The sequence below is a fragment of the Homo sapiens genome, chromosome 10, assembly GCF_000001405.40.
Source record: "Homo sapiens chromosome 10, GRCh38.p14 Primary Assembly".
Lineage (NCBI taxonomy): Eukaryota > Metazoa > Chordata > Mammalia > Primates > Hominidae > Homo > Homo sapiens.
Window position 1 is genome coordinate 71,367,084 of NC_000010.11, and position 19,674 is coordinate 71,386,757.

The 19,674-nt window shown below is 47.9% G+C and overlaps 1 protein-coding gene across 1 annotated transcript in view, besides 4 other annotated features; it reads left to right on the forward strand.

The window, feature by feature from the left end:
- SLC29A3 (solute carrier family 29 member 3) overlaps positions 1 to 14,340 on the forward strand; it is a 62,165-nt gene extending 47,825 nt beyond the window's left edge. The window contains exons 6-7 of the mRNA XM_047425425.1: positions 8,612 to 8,728; positions 12,683 to 14,340. Of these exons, the coding sequence (XP_047281381.1) occupies positions 8,612 to 8,702 (91 nt within the window). The 3' untranslated portion in view covers positions 8,703 to 8,728; positions 12,683 to 14,340. The remainder of the gene's footprint in view (positions 1 to 8,611; positions 8,729 to 12,682) is intronic.
- Positions 6,251 to 6,300: an enhancer, noted in NCBI's record as "active region_3513". NCBI's record gives its function as "activates an Ori minimal core promoter by ATAC-STARR-seq in GM12878 lymphoblastoid cells {active_cell/tissue: GM12878}" and the evidence as "EXISTENCE:reporter gene assay evidence [ECO:0000049][PMID:35858748]".
- Positions 9,544 to 10,104: an enhancer, noted in NCBI's record as "H3K4me1 hESC enhancer chr10:73136384-73136944 (GRCh37/hg19 assembly coordinates)". NCBI's record gives its function as "activates a minimal SCP1, AML or CMV promoter by ChIP-STARR-seq in primed H9 embryonic stem cells {active_cell/tissue: H9 hESC(primed)}" and the evidence as "EXISTENCE:reporter gene assay evidence [ECO:0000049][PMID:30033119]".
- Positions 10,160 to 10,309: an enhancer, noted in NCBI's record as "active region_3514". NCBI's record gives its function as "activates an Ori minimal core promoter by ATAC-STARR-seq in GM12878 lymphoblastoid cells {active_cell/tissue: GM12878}" and the evidence as "EXISTENCE:reporter gene assay evidence [ECO:0000049][PMID:35858748]".
- Positions 10,440 to 10,509: a silencer, noted in NCBI's record as "silent region_2463". NCBI's record gives its function as "represses an Ori minimal core promoter by ATAC-STARR-seq in GM12878 lymphoblastoid cells {active_cell/tissue: GM12878}" and the evidence as "EXISTENCE:reporter gene assay evidence [ECO:0000049][PMID:35858748]".

Consider the following 19,674-nt stretch of genomic DNA (forward strand, 5'->3'; position numbering starts at 1 on the left):
GGTCTCTCATGCTGTGTTGTAGGGGAATGGCTTTCAAAGAAGTGGAGGAGGCATCTCTGTTAGAGAGATGATTTGCAGTTAGTGTGGAGCACAAGGGGAGGCGGGGGGCCAGCCGTGGTGATGGTAGAGCCTGGAGATGATAGACTAAGTTGCACCCAGTTCACCAGCCCCTGCTGCTGAGGTGACCCCTGCATGGCTCGCTGCTGACAAACCTGTCTTGGAACAGCAGGGTTGTGGGACATGAGACAGAGCTTTAGAGGTCAGGAAGTCTTGCTCCCAGCCCCACAAGGCACCATCTGTGTGAGTCAACCTTCCTGAGTCTCATTTCCTCATCTGTAAAATAGGGATAATAGTAAGTCCCAGAGCTGTGACCATCTGCTGTGCCACTAAGCCAGCCTTTCACCCCAGTCACACCCACTCCCCAGCCCACATAGGCAAGAGATGCACCAGGGGTCACAGCCTTTGCAGCAGGCAACTCAGGGCACAGTGCACACCCCCTACTGCCACCAGGTTTCTGCCACTCAGGAAGTCCAGGGCAGCCTCAGCCTGAGATGGCGAACTCAACTTCAGGCTTCCCTGGGCTTGACCCTGAAGGAGAGTGACAAAGGTAGCCATACTCTCTGCCCCTACAAGGTTCCAGCCAGCTGACCCATTGGCCCTGTGCTCTCTGCTAAGAACAGTTCCGGTGCTTGACTGGAAGTTAGAGGAGCTCCAGGGCCACAGCATAGGGCCAAGGAATTAACAGTCACAGGATTCAGACACTCAGACCGAGGTTGGAATGCTGTTTCTGCCACCTCCTAGCTGGGTCACTTTAGCCACGTCCTGCTGGTGCCCTTTTCTGATGTCTAAAATAAGCCGGCCAGGCATGGTGGCTCACACCTATAATCCCAGCACTTTGGGAGGCTAAGGCGGGAGAATCACTTGAGGCCAGGAGTTCAAGACCAGCCTGGACAACATAGTAAGACCCTGTCGCTACAAAAATATATATATACAAAAATTAGCCAGGCCTAGTGGTACATGCCTATAGTCCCAGCTACTCAAGAGGCTGAGGCAGGAGGATTGTTTGAGCCCAGGAGGTGGAGGTTACAGTGAGCTAGAATTGCACCACTGCACCCCAGCCTGGGCAACAGAGTATCTAGAGACTATGTCTCTAAAAAAAATAAAAAATAAAATGAGAAGCCTCTCAGGGCTGTAGAAAGGATTAAATAAGCCCTAATGTTGTATGCAAAGTATCTGGCATATGATAGATCCTCAACAAACTTGGTTTTCTTCCACTTTTTGCTGCTGCCTGGACAACTTGTTGCAATGCCAGCTGCTTCCCTATGGCAGGCTGTACCCTGTACCCAGTGCTCAATGGACTTGCCAGGCCCCTCGCCTGGCCCCCAGGCCTAGAACCTGACACTTGTTTGATGCTCAGGCCCCCTGTCTGGATCTCCCTGCCCAGGCATGCCTGACCTGGGGGCAGGACACACTGGGCACAAAGCTGGAAATCCAAGACCCCAGACCACTCACTTTGTCCTTTGGACAGGCTGTTTCATTTTTTTTTCTATGCCTCAGCTGGAAAATTGGGCACCCCACTACCCATTCTATCACTATCATGAATGCACAGCCATGAACAAAGATGCCCTTTAGAAACCAGTGTAGTTCCAACGGGGTTCCAAGAGCCTGGGCTCTGGAGCCATTCTGCCTAGGTTTGAGTCCTTACTACTTCCTGGCTGTGTGACTGAAGGTAAGTCCAATCCCCTCCTCCATTTTCTCATCTGAACACTAGGGGCGATTGTAGTACTGCTCTCATCTCTGGTTATGATGATATACTGGCAATGCACATAAAACATTTGGAATGGAGCCTAGTGCTACAGATGAATGTTTGTGTCCTCCCCAAATTCACATGTTCCAATCCTAACCCCCAACTTGATGGTATTAGGAGGTTGGATGTTTGGGAGGTGATTAGATCATGAGAGTAGAACCCTCATGAATGTGATTAGTAACCTTATAAAAGAGTCAACAGAGCTCCCTCACCCCTGTGCCGTGTGAGAACACAGTGAGAAGATGGCCCTCTGTCAACCAGGAAGCAGACCCTCAGCACACACCAAATCTGCTGCAACCTTGATCTTGGATCTTCCAGCCTCTAGAACTGTGAGGAATAAATTTCTATTGTATAGAAGCCACCCAGGCTATGATATTTTTGTTATAGTAGTGTGAACAGACTAAGACAAATGTCAAGGAGCTTGGCTGAACTGTGTTTGTGTTCTAGTGTTTTGTGGCAGGTAGAACTTGAGAGTGATGAAACAAGATGTTTAGCTGAGGACATTTCTATGCAATATATTGAAAGTGTGGCTTGGCTTCTCCTAATAACATGTGAGAAAAGAGAAATGACTTAAATATGGAATGGTGAAGTAAAAAGGAAGCAGAACTTAAAGATTTGGAAAATCCTCAGCCTATTCATATTGCAAAAAATGAGAACACTACAGGTGTAGCGTAAACAAATGACTGTTTGCTAAGGAGATCAGAGTAGAGCAACAATCCAACCTGGGCTCTGCAATCCACTGCTGGCCATGAGCTTGGGAGCAGGCCCTGCTTCTGCAGCAGGATGAGTGTGGTCTACATCAAAGTAAAGGGAGGCACTGACCATTGAGCAGCTACTATGGTCAGGCTCTGCCTATGTACAGTATCCCTGCCAGGTGGGGTGGGTCATCCCCATTTTACAGATGAGGAAACTGAGACTCAGAAAGATTAAGTCAGTAAGAGACCATGTTAGAATTCAGACCAGAGCTAGGAGGCTCCAAAGCCTGTCTTTCCTCTTCACCCTGCTGCCTTAAAAGATTGAGAAGGGCACTTCCAGTTTACATGGTTTGTGGATCTGAGGACGCCCAGAGCACATGCTGGGTAGACAGGGTAAGGAGGGGGAGAAGCAGAGTCAGGATGAACTTGTCCGGTGTGAGGGACAGGGGCCACCCAGCCTGCCCTCAGTGCTTCTATGGTGGCACTGATGGGTCACTGGTCATCAATACCCAAGGCTGCAGATGTTATAGGCACTTGAAACATAAGGTTCATGAAGGCAAGAGCAAGATTTACAGAGCATGTGATACAGGCAGAGAGCTTCACCATCTGGATCTCAGGTGCCACATGCCTCAAGCCTGTCCTCTCCAACGTGCCAAGGAACCGTGGGTGGGTCCACCTTCGCAGACACAGAGAAGAGTAAAGTATGAAGTTCTAGGATAACCATGCCTTCTGTTCCCAACTTAAAACATATGCCTAGAGCTGGTGGGGCCCTGAGGCCACCAAGTCCAACCTCTGCCCCTCAGCAAGACCATACTTGGGCTACTGTAAACCAGCTGGCACCAGGCCTGTGCTGACCAGCAGTTTCTAACAGATTTAAGTTCCGGAGGCCCAAGGAGATTGAACGTCCTCAGTGCTGTCCTTCTTATTTGTTTATTTATTTATTATATATATTTTAAGAGATGGAGTCTTGCTATGTTGCTGAGGTTGGAGTGCAGTGGCTGTTCGGAAGTGCAATCATAGCTCACTGCAACCTCCAACTCCTAGGCTCAAGTGATCCTCCCACCTCAGCCTCCCAAGTAGCTGGGACTACAGGCATGTGACACTGTGCCCAGCTTTTTAAAAAAATGAAATATAACTATATTTTCCAAAACAAAATATTGGTGAGAAAAGTGCCATTGTTTTGCAGTTTTTAATGTAATTTTTTATTGATACATAATAGAGGTATATATTTTCAGGGTACATATGATAATTTAATACACTGATATCATTTGTAAAGATCAAATCAGGGCAATTGGGATAGCCATCACCTTAAATATTTGTCTTTTCTTTATACTAGAAACATCTAAATTATTTTATTATTTATTTTTTAATTTTTAATAGAGACAGGGTCTCTTTATGTTGCCCAGGCTGGTCTCGAACTCCTGAGCTCAAACGATCTACTCACCTCAGCCTCCCAAAGTGCTGGGATTACAGGTGTGAGTCATCGCGCTTGGCCCGAATGATTCTCTTCTAGCTATTTTGAAATGTATGATAGATTATTGTAAAGTGTAGTGAATACTGATCCATCAAGCACTAGGTCTTACTGATTGCTGTTCCGATTCTGGAAAAAGCCCCCACGTTCCTAGCCCACTTCCTATGCACTCACTCCAGGGTGAAGGATGTGAGGTCCTCTTCCCAGCACTTTCACCCAACGGCCTCCATCACTACTGCACTAGCCCGCCCCACTCCTTGGAGTTTAACCAGGGCAGAATGTTCTCATGGCTCTAGACTTCTGATGTCCTTGCTACTTCCTTCTAAGAGTCTTATGTGGGTCTTAATCTGGGGCCTCTGGGTGGAAAGAGGGATTCATGGAACCCCTGAGATCATATGCAGAAGTTTCTGTGCTTTGGGAGAGGGGCTATAGCTTACATCAGATAGTCAAAGAGGTCTGCATTCCAAGGTTTCCGAGCCCCTGGGTGCCAAGCTACAGTGACCCGTCCTGTTTAATGGTGTTCCTGGACAGAGCAATGGACAGAGCACAGTGCTTAAGAGCAGGGACTTAGAAGCCAGACTGCCTGATTTTGAACCCCGACTCTATGTCTTATTAGTCAGTGATCTTGGACAGGTTTCTTAACCTCTCTGTGTCTCTGTTTCCTTATCTGTAAAAGGGATTGACAGTGTGTCTATCCTCATGGGATTGTTGTGAAGATTAAATGATTTAATCCATATAAAGCTCTCCATCCAGGCTAAATGATTACTTCTCCTCCCATCGCCCTTGGAGGTTGGCAGGGCAGAGGTTATCCTGACCACTTTTTCAATGAGGAAGAACGACAGAAATAATAGCCCAGTTCCAGAGCTCTGCCTGCAAGTGCAGCAGGTCCTGCTGTTTCATGAAATCATTGCAAAGAGGAAGTCTGCACACTGCTCTCAGAGGCAGGAGGATTCCTTTTAGAGAGCTGGGGAATAAACCAGATCTATCGACAGTTTCAGTCCTGGTTAAGTAGTGAGAACCAGTCATCGGTCACAGGATGCAAGAGGTGGCTTTAGGCGTGAGTCAGGAGCCACACACCTGAACTGGCCTGTTAGCATCTTCACGGTGAACTTCTTGAAGTCCCTCTGTCTAATCAGATTTCCAGAGAAATAGAGGAACTACTGCTTATTGAGCACTATGAACCGGGCAAGTGAATGCATAATCTTACTTAATCCATTCAGTCACTAGGTGGAAGGATTATTATCCCCATTTTATATGTGCCAAAACTAAGACTCACATAGCTGCTAAGTGGCAGAACTGAGATTCAAACCCAGGTCTGCCTGACTCCAAGACTCAAGTGCCTGATGGTCACAATAGCAGCAGTCCTCATTAGAATCACCTGGAGCACTTGGTAAATGCAGATTGCTGTATCCACTCCCAGAGTCCCTGATTCCATAGGTCTGGTGTGGGACCTGAGAATTTGTAGTTCCAACAAGTTCCCAGGTGGTGCTGATGCTGCTGGTCTGAGAACCCCACGAGGAGAACCACTGTGCTAAACCAAAGAGTGATGAGGGGTTGTCATCAGCTCACACCTGGCCCGGGGAGAGAAAGTGAGGGCTTCATCTGCTGCTGTTCCAGTTGAGGCCTCAGGAACCGGAAAGTCTTTAATGAAGCTAATGCATTGTGGACACTCACTCAACCTTCCTTGAAAATGATCACAGATTCAGGGCAGGGCCTTTGCATTTTAAGTGCCAAGCTCATCTTCTTCACCACGCCCCAAGGTTGGCGCCTGGTGGCTTTACTCCTCACTTGTGTCTTTCCCACCTGCTCCCTTCAGCTGAGGCCCAACACCATCAATATTGAGGAGGGAGGAGGGACAGGGGCGGGGGCGAGACAGTGAGGCTGAGGGGCAAGTCTCAAGGCATGCGTGCGATGACAGGCTGGAAGGCGCTGTGATCTCACCCCCTCGCAGGCATTCCTGTAACTGGGGAGCAGTGGGTGAGGGGTGCGGGGCTGCCTCCTACCAGGGTGTAGTCACACCTCCTATCTGTCCTCTGGAATTCATTAGCTGCTGAGGTGATGTTAACTGTTTTTCATTTTCTGAGTCTTTGCTGAGACTCAAAAAGGGGAAATGAGCCATTACCAACCAGCAACACTTTTTCAAACAGAAACTGAATTGACTGCATTTTCTAATAATGTTGTGTGAATTACGAATGCAGAACTCTGGCCTTGTCTTTCAGAAGACAGATGTCTGTGGCTTGCTTTCTGCTTATAAAGCTCTGGGAGAAAGGAATAGGACAGGTCAAATGTCAAAGTGTGCTGGCCCTGGCCTGTTGTGAGGATGTCGGGAAATTTCCCTTTCCTTGCTTTCTGCTGCTCAAGAACCTCAGGCTCTGCCCTGTTGGGTAAGGAACAGCCACCTCGATTCTTGAAATAGGGGAGTCAGGACACAGGGCTTGGAATCAGAGAACTCTGAACCTCAGTATCCTCATCCGTAAAATGGAGATATTAATCCTGCATGCCTCGACATTCTGATCCTGTCAGAGTGCCTTGTGAACTGCAAAAAGCGTATCAGATATTAGCTCTTATTATTATCCTGCCCTTAGATCCATTTGCACCCCATCCTATGGGACAAGGAGTCTGTAGGACCAAAGGGACATGATAACCAGGAGCTCACAGCCCTCTTCCCTTCTGCCATGCTCTGGGTACGTGGGACACTTGAATCCCTTGCCTAAATGGGCTTGAACCTATAAGGAAGGGCTGGGAAGGCCTTTTCCCAGACCCATGGCCCCAAGGGCAGACTGCTAAGGGCACACCTGGGTGCAAGGAATGGCTGTTTGCAAGGGGTGCAGAGTTGGGACTTATAGGTTGGGATATCTACATTCGTTCACAGGAGACCCTTCTAGATGTGGGACTGAGCAGAATTCTGAGAAGTCAGAGAATTCTAGATTCCAACCTGACCTTCCAGGTTGTTATAAAGGTATATATGTGTCAAGGTAGAAGGGAGAAGATATTTTAAGTTTAGTCATTGATGTGTAACTTACATATGAAAACACCTGGTATAGGGCCTCCATTTGTATTATTGTCCTGGGCCCATTTTCATTACTAGAAGTTTGAATTCACTTCCTTTGAGCCAGGCAGACCTCTTGCTTTCCTCATTATTTGTACCTCTCTTCCTATTTCCCTCTCCTCTGTCTTCCTAAATATGCATAGCTGAGCCTTATTAGGATATATAGCCAGGATTGGTAGAGATTTAGGGGGCTCCCTTTCCTCTCTCCCTTTAACCATTTCCCACCCCCTCAGGACATGCGTGACAGATGATAGGCAGGGGCCAAGGGTCCTCTCTGGTCAATGGCTGGCCACCTTTTTACCTCTTAAGAGGTTTCAAGATAATGATATCTGTGTAACTTCATGGTAAGAAGATAGAGCTCCATTCTGCTCCCGCCATGGTAACCCGAAGGTAAGCCAAGAGGCTCCATGTTGGGGTGTGTGTGTGTGTGTTGTGGGAAGCAGGCCTGAGAAGCCTAGATTTTTGGGCAGAGAACTACAAGAAGAGTAATGTTGCCTGCCCCTGTCCCCATCTCCATCCTGGAAGGGTGCAGGTCCTCAGCTGGCAGCGGGAGAAAGGCAGCTGGTGAAAGGCAGCAGCCAGCGACTTCACCACTTTGAGTTGGGCCCCTTCTGGTGTAGAACCTGGATCCCCTAACCTCCTTGGCTTGCCGCTAGCGTGTCATTATCCACGTTTTGCTCCATGTAAAACCCTCTTCCAACATCCCCTTCCTATTCAGACACTGTTTGACAGTGCAGAGACTGGTCCAGAAATGGGGTCGCTTGCCTCTGTGAGTCAAGCCTCTCCTGCTCCAGAAAGTAAGATGAGAATAGCTGCTCCCCGCTTGCTTCTTGGGGTCCTGGGAGGATGCAGCAGTAGTAGAACAGCTTTTGGTACATATCAAATCCTGCTGAACAGCTCATCTCACCTATGCCTGAGATGGCGATAATGCAGAGGAGGAATAGCGCAGGTGGGAGTACAGAAGTAGCAGGCTTGTGAGAGAGCTTTGTGAACTGCAAAAACCCTATCAGATATTAGCTCTTGTTATTATCCTGCTCTTAGATCCATTTGCACCCCATCCCACCTGCCCCACCGACCCTAAGAGAATCAGAGCAAATGCTTGTTATTAGACATGAGCACTGAAGGCTCCAAGGACTACTGCGGCCACCGTTTCTCCACATGTGGAAAGAGTGAAGTGCTGGTACTGTGCTGTGTGACTTTAGGTGCTACCAAGCAGAGTATTAAACACAGAACTGCAGCACGTCCAAGTTCTCCCCTTTTCAGTACGTTCAATCCTGATTACCCACAGGAGAAACTTGCAGTTTAGTGCTTGCATTCTTCAACACCTCACTAAAACTCAACAGTTTCCCTTTTTAACAAAGAGATCAAGGTTTTGCCCACTAGAATTGAAAACAATATTTTAATTTTCATCTCTTTATGTGGTTTCTTACTTTCTATTTACGCCAGGTGATAGTGGTTTTCCATTAAAGTAATGACATACAGATTTTAAAAGTAAATATAAGTAAATCAACTAAAAAAATCAATTTAAGAAGCACTTTAAAAAAAATGCAGGTGGTACTCGGACGTGACTAATATTATTCATTTCATAGGCAAGGAAATGGAGAATCAGGCAGGAATCCCCAAACCCCAGAGTGGTATAAGCTGACATTTAGGAAGAACACAGACGGCTGTCTCCCCTGAAAGCCAAACAGATACTCATGGGCCAGGTAAGTTCTCCCTTTCACATTTAGGACCCCCATTAACAAGAGTCTGCCTTTTGTGGTTGGTGTTTTCACCATTTTCATTTTAGCCAAGAAAAATAAGAACTTCTGGGGCCACTGATTGATCCCTTTAAATTGAGGGCAGAAAGCTGGCCATTTTTCAGAAGCGAAGAGCGTCAGCAGTGGTGTTAGGTATAACTAGAAGAGGGGGAAGAAGGGGCAAAAATAGAGGTGGGGCAAAGTGTAAACAGGAAATAGAAGACACAAAGCCAAACCAGCTTGAACATTTTTAAGGACTTGAAACTCCAGGGAGTGGTGGAAACAAACTCCAGATTGTTCCTGTCCTAAGTAAACACGGCAATGTGTCTCTTACAAAGCTCTGACCACAGCCACTCTTTGATACTGATAGAACTATTGCTTATTGAAACTACTATGATGATTTGCCCACTAACCTCCACTGGGCCCTCAGTAGCTGCCAGGCACCTGGCTAAGACTGAACATCCTCTTGTCAATCCTCACAGGAAGACTTGAAGTGAAAATTGCAGGCTCTGGACTTGACTAGCCTGGGTTGGAAATCTGGCCCTGTAGAGCTGTGTCAGAGCAAATCAAATTCTTCCCTGAGCCTATTTCCTCATTCATTATACCCATTCTACTAAATGCATGTAATAACTATTATACCTCTTAGATTTCAACATTAGACCATTTATCAGGGGTAGGAAGTAAGCAACCAATAACAATGTCACTTATTATTCACTGTTGGTATTATCAGTACCAGAAGGGCAAAGAAGCTTCTGAAGTTTGTCAACCTTAAATAATAAGATATAGAAAATATGACTAGCTATAGAGTTTATTCAAGCCCAAAGCTTGAGGATGGCCACCCAGGAGCATAGATTCAAGTTTCCCTGAATGTATATGCTGAGTAGCAGCAATTAGAAGTGGGTTTTTGTTTCTGTGTTTTTTTGTTTTGTTTTGTTTTGAGATGGAGTCTCCCTTCGTTGCCCAGACTGGAATGCAGTGGTGTGATCTCAGCTTATTGCAAACTCCACCTCCTGGATTCAGGAGATTCTCCTGCCTCTGCCTCTGCCTCAGCCTCCCGAGTAGCTGGGATTACAGGCACCTGCCACCACGCCCGGCTAATTTTTATATTTTTAGTAGAGGCGAGGTTTCACCATGTTGCCCAGGCTGGTCTCGAACTCCTGACCTCAAGACCTCACCCTCCCAAAGTGCTGGGATTACAGGCGTGAGCCACCGCGCCCGGCCCTGTCTTTTCTCAAGGTCACTTGGCCCAGTGTCACAGAGCTGAACCAAGATGGTTAGGCTGAGGGATAGGTCCCGAAGTGCTCAGATCTCCGGGCCTCAAGGCCCAGGCTGGGGTGGCACGGCAGGGGCTGATGGGGAGGTGCCCAGGCCGCCGGCGGATGCTCCCGGAAGATGCTCTAAGCTGCCGCTCCAGGTATCCCCTGGGCTGAGGCTACCTGGAGACGCCCACGGCAGTGACACACCAAGCGGGGTATGGCGAATCGTCAGGTCCGCAAAACCACCCAGTTCAGCAACTCATGGCTATGCCGAGCCCGCCGCGCTCAGCTCGGCCAGAAACAGCTCCTAGAGCCAGGGACTGGACCGCCCCCGCTGGCCTCTGGCAGGCAAACAGCCACCGGCCACGAAATAGATGGCCGCGAGGGCTTCCGGGAGCCGCGGGGCAGGCCGGGAGCCGGGCCGCACAGCCAATGCCCGCGCGGGGGCCGTCGGTAGTTACCCGGCAACGAGGTGGACGCCCAGTAGAGGGAGCGGAGCCAGTAGGGCTGGAAGAACTGGCAAGAAAGCCCTAGAGAGAGGCGACCTGCCAATTTTGGAAGCGGCTTTTTGTTTTGTCCCCAGATCACTCATTCCTACCTGGTCTTGGAGGAAGATCGTCAAGGCAAATGATAAGAAACAGAAATAAACCAGGGGAACAAATAATGATAAAAAAGATACTCATATTTGTTGAGCACTTACTGTCGGCCTGGCTCTTTGCAAGGATTACTTAATTTGATCATCTGATTTTGCTGTCCCAAGTTGTAAATGAGAAAATAGGAGTTTAGACAGATTAAGCATCTTGGCCAAACTACCTCAAACTAGGGAGTGTCAGAGCTGGAATTTGAACTTGGGTGGGCATGAACTCAGGTGGCTTGAGTTCTTAATGAGTCAAACCGTGGACACTCATTTCAGTTCAGCAAACCTAAATCTGTGTTCCTACTAGGCCATGCAGGGCCAATCCAGGTTTTATGGGGTCTGAAGCTTAGACAATGTTGGGGGGGGGGGTCCTCTTTTGGAAAAAAGAATAAAAAATTACAAATATAAAGTTAGGTACAAAAATGAACTTAGAATGTAAAAAGAAATCATAACAAAATATTTTTGCTAATTTTACAAAAATATACGACCATATGAATGCATAGCTAGGGACTCAACGAAGCCGTCTTTGACCCTTAGCTTCCCTTGAAATCCTTCAGTCAGATGTCAAACTACCTTGCAAGCTTCTCTGCGGTTCTCCTCCCACCCTGTCTCCCAGCCAAAGGACCTGAGACCCTAGCAACAGGCTTAATAGGGCTTTTCTGGCCATAGGAGCGATTTTAGCCTGAGTCAACTTGAGTGCCAGAGGGTGAATGCCCTCAGAAGCAGCTCCCAAATACTGATGAACAGGGAGTTGGTGGATAAATTCCCTAGCTTCCTCATCCCTCAAGTGAGATCATGCTGAGACACTTTGTGGTTCTTAGGGTGTAGTCCCAAACCAGCAGCAAACTGTACCACTTGAGAACTAGTTAGAAATGCAAATTCTTAGCCTACTACTACCCTGTACCTACTGAATCTAAAATTGTAGGGGCTGGGGCCCAGTCATTGGTGTTTTAACAAGCCCTCCTAGTGAGTCTGTGCTGAAGTTTGAGAACGACTGTTCTGCTAGGCTGTTCCCCAGAGCTCCCTTATGGGCTTGAGCTCCCGTTGTCTACAATGGTAACCTGCTTGATAACACATCTTTTTTTGGTCTCCTTCCCTTTCTTGTCTCACTTCCTCATTCTTCAGCTGGAGCTTCCTGAATTCACTTCTAATAAACGACTTGCACTTTAATCCTTGTCTGGGATCAGCTTCTAGAGAAACACCACCTTAGATGAGAACAACTAGGGGAGGTGTCATTGCCCAGTGAGGAGGAGGACGATGGCTGGCTTCAGGGAGGACCAAATGCTCTGCCAAATGCTTTGCTCTCATTGTCTGCTTCACCCTCACAATGCCTCAGTTGAGAGGGAGATGTTGCCCCCCAACGGGGAAACTAGGGTTTGGAGGATTTAAGTGGCTTGCCCAAGAATTTGAATCCAGGTCTGAGTCCAAAAGGTGAGCTCCTTACCAGTGAGGGCAGAGGGCCAGCCCATGTTTTGCTCTCTTGTCATTCCTCCTCTTCTCAGAGCAGGCAAGCGTTAAATGAAAATTGTAGGAGGCCATTGTTTTGGACTAAGTTTCTGAATTAGGCCCCAGCAGACCAGGCTAAAAATCCAAAGGGAGTCACCCATGCTAAAGTTCCATGGCACTAAACCCAAACTAAGTAGTTACCTGAAAAGAGGTAACAGCCAATGTCCCAAACAGGCCAGTTCAAATCTCAATGGTCACAAGAGTGAATCCCCTCTGCTTTATTCCTTATATGAAAGAAGTAGCGTTGAGTAACCTGATGCTAATGAATCAGTTGTTTTTCTATCATTCTGTCTCCCTGTCCCCACCTCGTGAGGGAAGTGGCTCTGAAGCAACTAATAGGCTCTTTGTTCTTCTCTTCTGTTTCCTTCAGCCCTCTCTGTCTATAAAACCAACTCCCTCTGCTCAGCTTATCAGAACACTTATTCTATTTTATGGAATGAAGTGTTGCCAGATTCTATAATTGCAATAAAGCCATTTGAGATCTTTAAGCTAAATTTCTTATCATTTTGTCTTTTGATACAGGGATCCAGTTTTGTTGTGAGGAGTGCTATAGGCTGGACACTTTGGAAAAATCCCGAGTGCACTTTGTGGACACTGCTGGCCTGAAATAGTGGGGCACACTGGCCTGAGAGCTCCCTGGCTCCCAGTGCCTAAGGTCCTTTACCCCATACTCCCTCAAGGTCCATCCCTATACCCTCCAGCCCACAGCATGTGACCAAGCATGTGCCCCTTAACCTGGAGCTGGAACCCTTCCTTTCACAGATACCTGGAAATTGAGCCAGATCTGCATCCGAGGGACACTAGAAGGGATGGGGAGGAGCGCTTACCCCTGAACTCTGTTTTGTCTCATGTTTGGAGGCCCAAGGTCATTTGGTTCTTCAGATTTCCAGCAAACTATAGCTCTCACTCCCTTCCCGCATGCCCTCACCCCACGGCTTTTACACTTAAGAGGAATGGCCCTGCCTTCTCTGGGCCCACAGCTCCTGTGGCTTGAGGTTCCAGCCGTCTTGTTAACAATTTTTCTCCCTGCGATGTAGGAATGATGGCTGTGTTAACAGGTCGGGGGGCGGTTGGGGAGACACTAACAAGATGATAAACCTTGGTATTTGGCTCTGCTGCTGACTTTGAGCGAGTCCTTTTTTACCTCTCAGAGCCTTATTTTTCTCATCTGTAAAGTGGGGAGTCCTGCTCCCCTCCCCTGAGGTTGTTCTAATGAGGCCGTGCTCATAGTAGGTAAATAATGTACACACACAACATGGGCATGCACAGCGATGGGTGCAGGTTGCAATTGGGACTTCCCTCTGTTCCCTCCATCACAATTGATGAGGGACTTTGGGGCTGATCTTGACTTCTCCAGGATCCTGGTCTCCCAGTAGGTTGCTAGTGATGCTCAAAAGGTAGGGGTCTCTCCCCAGGACACTGCCAGCCTGCCCTTCTGGGAGGAAGGAGACAGAAAGGGTTACTTTGGCAATCACGAGGCTTAAGGATGCCCCAATGCTTCACCCTGTCCCAAACCGACCCCCTACTCCCACCCCCAAGTCTAAAGTGGGTCCCTCTACAATAATCTCTCATCACGCCATTCATTCTTCCTTTGTGGCACTTATTATAAGTGCTAATTATTTATCAATATTTGTTTTTTTAAACAAAACTTTATTATGAAAAGTTTCCAACATTTACCAGAAAAACCCAAAACAGAACAGTATCACAGACTCCATATACCTATCACCCAGCTTCAACAATGATCAACTCGAGGTCAATCTTGTTTTATCTCTACCCCTACTCACTCCTGCCTCCTAGTATTAATTTGAGGCAACACATTTGTAAATGTTTTGGTAGGTATTGCTAAAAATAAGGGCTCTTGTATAAAACATAACCACAAATACATGTCATTATACATTTATCCAAACCCACAGAATGTACAACACCAAGAGTGAACCCTAATGTGAGCTATGGACTTGGGGTGATGATGGTGTGTCAGTGCAGGCTCACTACTGTATCAAATGCTCTGCTCTGCTGGGGGATGTTGATACTGTGGCAGGCTGTGCACAACGTGGGGGCAGTCTCTGTACCATCTTCTCAATTTTCCTGTGAACTTAAAACTACTCTAAAAAAGTTAAGTCTTAAAAAATAAAATCAAAAGAGCAAAGCTCCTGTTATTAAATCTAAAAAATGAACAATAATTCTTTGGTATGTGATTATTGTTAAATGTGTATCTCCCTCCACTGGGTTGGGAGCCTCATGAGAGCTTGCGTGAGGCCTACTAGGTCCTTGGTGAGTAATTGTTGGATGGATGGATGGATGGGTGGATGAATGGATGGAAGGATGGATGGATGGAGAAAAGGCAAAGGGAGCTGGGAGCCCACTTTGCTTTCCATGGATGCTGTCTGATCCCTTCAACACTGGGGTGTGATCACTGCCTTGCAGGTCCACAGACTGTCTCATCCTCTTGGATGTGAGCACCACCATGGAGCTGAAAACCTTTCTCAGTTTTTTTCGCTCCTAACCTGCCTTCCACAGAATCAGGCAAGTAGTCGCTAATCCTCTCCTGTTGGCTGCAGCCTGCTCCCACTGTGCAGCTAATTCCACCTTCCAACTTAATCATCATGCTTAGCACTTTCAATAAGGGCTTTTCATCTTCAGAGCACTGCTCAGCCATTAGCTGATTACTGTAATCTGTCCAACTCCCAAGACGTCAACCAGCATGGCAATGAGAGGCTTCCCTTATTCTCTTGGAGACTCAGTTTCCTCATCTGTAAAACTGGGTTAATATACCTAACTGGCATGGTCGGTGTAGGGTTTCAGTAAAATAAAGTCCAGAAAGTGTCTGGCACTGTCCTTTGACACCTAACAAGCCCTCAGTAATTGTTTATTATCTGTTTCCTGTATGGTGCAGAGGTTAACTCTCATTGGAGAGCCCAGAAAAATCTGGATTTGAATCCAGCTTCCTCCGCTTAAAGTTACATTTCCTGAGCCTCAGTTTTCTGATCTCTAAAATGGGGGTGATGGCACTGCCTCAGTTGGCTGAAAGATCAAATGATGTGACATATGTGTGTGATGTGCTGGGCACAATGTGAGTCACCTAGGAAGTCCTTCCTGGAAGGAAATGGAGGCAGGGAAGGAGAAGGAGGCTGTAGTGCTCCTTGGGAAGGTGCTAGATAATTCTTTTCTCCTTTGTCCCTCAAGATGTTTGAGGGGAAGAAAGATGCCTATTGTACTCACCATTACAACCCCAGCCAACTACCCCCTTGCCCAGCTGTGTGCTCAAAAAAATAAGTAAAGGAATTCAGTGTGCTATGGGTGGAACTACATCTCAACAGGACTGGAGAGTTTATAGAAGACTTTCAGATTTTTCTTTATCTCACAACCAGAGAAAGTAAACAGGCCAGGGATTATCCCCACATATTACAGACGAGGAAACTGAGGCTCAGAGAGAATAAACACAAGGCCTGCAAACGTTAAGAGCTAGAGCCACCCCATCCCAATTTGGATGCATCAGGAGACGTGTCTAAGCTTTGCCCTCCAGAGGAGCTAGGCCTCTGTCTCAGCTGGAGTTACAGGTCTTCTTGAGACCTTCTAAAGCTACAAGGATTCTGCCTGCTAGCCCTTCCTCTCACCCTACCTGGTATGGGGCTGTATCCCAGTGCGCCTGTTTTTAGTTACTGAGAATTTCAACATCAGGGCAGCCATGAACAGCTGCTGTGGTTGTAACTGTGCAACTCTAGCAGAGGGATCTCATTCATCATAACAGCAATGAATCAGCAAAGAAGTTAAGTCCTCACCATAAAGTTGGGGGTGACTCTAGGAGGTGATAGAGGGCCCTCTCTATACACTGACTGGGCCTGGGTTAGGAGTCCTGTTCCAGGAACCAGGGCTCCTGGCATTCCCTGAATAGGCAGGGTCTGGCATCAGAGTGGCAGCATCAGGAGGCTGATCTCCGCCCTTCCTAGGGAGAAGCGTAGGAAGGACTTGGGAAGTGAACCGTAAGTTTCAAAATGTGAGGGAGTTAAGGAAAGGGAGCAAGACTCTGAGCTGGGTACTTCACGTGCGTTATTACCTATACTGTATCATATGTAAGCAATAATTTAATCTGATAATAAGACTCTTTGGGGCCGGGTGCAGTGGCTCACACCTGTAATCCCAACATTTTGGGAGGCTGAGGTGAGTGAATCATTTGAGGTCAGGAGTTCAAGAGCAGCCTGGCCAAAGTGGTGAAACCCTGTCTCTACTAAAAATACAAAAATTAGCCAGGCAGTAGTGGCGCACGCCTGTAATCCCAGGTACTGGGGAGGCTGAGGCAAGAGAATCATTTGAGCCTGTGAGGCAGAGGTTGCAGTGAGCTGAGATCATGCCACTGGACTCCAGTCTAGGCGACAGAGTGAGATGCTGTCTCAAAAAAAAAAAAAAAAAAAAGACTCTTTGGATAGGCACCATCAACCCATTTTACAGATGAATTAAATGGGGCACACAAAAGTTAATTAAGTTGCCCAAAGGGTGACACAGCAAGGAAGTGGCACAGGTGGGATTCAAATTCAAGCCTACCTGACTCCAGGCCCCACAATGTTGCCTCTAGTTGTTACCTGCATTTTATAATAAGGAAGGCAGCCAAGGCCCAGAAATGGGCAGTGATTTTCCCAGAGTCACACAGCCAGCTAGTGGCTGGGCAGAGACTGAAACCAACAGTCCAGACTTCCAGTTCCAAAATGAGCCCATAAAAGTACCTGGCCCGTAGGAAATCTTCAAGTCGTATTTGTTTTTTCATTTGTTTTTCATTTTTGTTTTAGAGACAGGATCTCACTCTGTTGCCCAGACTGAAGTGCAGCGACACAAACATGGCTTACTACAGCCTTGACCTCCTGGGTCAGGTGATCCTCCTGCCTCGGCCTCCCAAAGTGCTGGAACTACAGGCATGAGCCACTGCACCCAGCCATCCATTAATATTTGTGATAGAAACAAGGCTAGGGAGAATCCCTGGATGGCTGAGGATAGGGGAGCAGCGGGGAGGAGCAGATGGTAAAGAACAGGCCTTGCTGGAGACCACCAACCTGCTGCTTTTTTCTAGGAGTTGCCCTTTAGCCTTCCCTTCAAAGTAGGGCTTGGGGAGGTGACCCAGAGCTGGGAGGGGTGAGAGGTGTCGTGCAGCACTCGGCCTGCAGGTGGCGCCCCACACTGCAGTTCTGTACTCCCCCAGGGAATGGGAGCCTGCAGGGGATTTTCCTGTGGCTGGGCGGGGTGGGACCAGGGCAGTGGGTCTCTCACCAGCGTTTTCAGGATGCCCCTAGACAACAGCTCCCCTCTCACCCTGGCCGCCTATGCCTGGCTGTGGCTGTGGCAGCAGATGGCTGACAGGGCCCAGATGGGAACTCACACCTCAACTCCTTCCTCCCTGGTCATGCCCTCTGCAGGGCCCTGGGTGAGAAACCTCAGAAGGACTTGAGGTCATCCAGCTGCTTGACCTTGGCCAGTTTACTGAGCCTCTTGGATGCCTACTTTCTTCATCTGTAGAGCAGAAGTGGGTTTTATTTCCAGGGTACTGGGAGGATCAGATGGAACATTTATAAAATGCCTGGCCCAGGCTGGGCATGGTGGCTCACACCTGTAATCCCAGCACTTTGGGAGGCTGAGGTGGGCGGATCACGAGGTCAGGAGTTCGAGACCAGCCTGGCCAACACGGTGAAACTCTGTCTCTACTAAAAATACAAAAATTAGGGCCGGGTGCGGTGGCTTACGCCTGTAATCCCAGCACTTTGGGAGGCCGAGGTGGGTGGATCACCTGAGGTCGGGAGTTCGAGATCAGCCTGGCCAACATGGAGAAACCCGTCTCCACTAAAAATACAAAAATTAGCTAGGTGTAGTGGCACATGCTTGTAATCCCAGCTACTCGGGAGGCTGAGGCAGGAGAATCGCTTGAACCTGAGAGGTGGAGGTTGCAGTGAGCCAAGATCGCACCATTGCACTCCAGCCTGGGCAATAAGAGTGAAACTCCATCTCAAAAAGAAAAAAAAAAAATGCCTGGCCCATTGCAGGCACTCAGCAGACGGGAACTGTCAGGATTATTCCCATGGACAGTGGCTGCCTGTCCTGATGTCACATCTGCCTGGCAGCTATCTCTTCTTAGTCTTTCCCACCTCACAATGGCAATCCATCACACCATGCCTTACCAGTCACCGCCAAGCTCTGTTATCCATGCCCTACAGACCTGGTACTGCCTGGAAGACAATATAGAAGAGCAGTTAAGTGGAAGGCCCCAGTTCTCACCGTCTGTGTGCAAAACCTTGCCTCTGCGCCTTCCTGTGTGGCCTCGGTCGAGCGGCTCCCGTGTTGCAGATTCTTAGTGCTCAACACTACATAGCACAGGCTCCTGGAAGCTAGGTTAGAGCCATGTGACTCACTAGCTCTGGCCAGGGAAATGGGGGAACAGGAGTGACGTGGGCATGTGTCACTCTAGGCCAAGGCAGGTAAGAGACTGTGGATTCCTCTACCCTTTCTTGCCCTGCCACAGTGACCTGTGTGTGGCCAAAGGGCCTTGTGTTTCCATGGTAAAGCACTAAGATAGAAGCACCCTAGATCCCCCAAGCCACTCTCAGAGGAAAGCCACCCCACCAGCATCGTGTTATATATGAGCAAGAAGTAAACTTTTATTGCCACTGAGGCTTCAGGGTTTGTTTATACCACAGTGTAACCTAGGTTAATTTTACGGATGCAGCCTCCCTGTGCCTCAATTTTCTCATCAGTGAAAATGGGGATAACAATAGCACTACTGTCATAGAGTTGTTGTGAGGGTTAAATGAGATCGTGGATGCAACCCTCTTAAGATGTAAAAATCTTAGTTTTTATCATTCTATGGGAAGATACAGAACAGTATGAAATGATCCTACATGCTCAGAGCAAGCGGGGCCCTGGGAACTTGAACTCACATTTCATGTTTAGATGAGGACACCAAGGCTTGGGGCAGAGGAGGGGATGCCTTGTTCAAGGTCATGCAGGCAAATGGTGGGAGAGTCAGGGCTGAATCCTGACTTTCTGAGCCCTGTCCAATGTATTTTCAGACACATTTTGGTCCCTGCCTTCTGGGAGCTCATGATCTAATTGGAAACAAGACAGACATACTGTGGAAAGATCATTCAAGATTCCATGCTATACCCAGATGCGAGAGTCATCCAGACAGTGAGGGTTCTGAGGGCCAGAGGAAGACAAGGACCTGGGGGGTCTGGGAAGTGGGCAGAAAAGGCTTCTGGGAGCTGATGGGATTTGAAGAACGGATTTCAGCAGAGAGGAGGAGTGGGCAGAGGGCAATGGTGGGGGAGACAACAGTATAATCCCAGGCCAGGAGAAAGGGAGGTCAAGGAGCAGAATGGTCCATAGAACAGATAGATCAAAGCATGGTATGTTTAACCAGTTTGAGGGACAAGTAGATTTCTTCCCCTTTTTGACCCCTATTATAAAGAGCACTGCACTAAACACCCCTCTATGTATCTGTGTATTTTGTCAGCTGAGATAGAGGTTTTCTAGAGAAG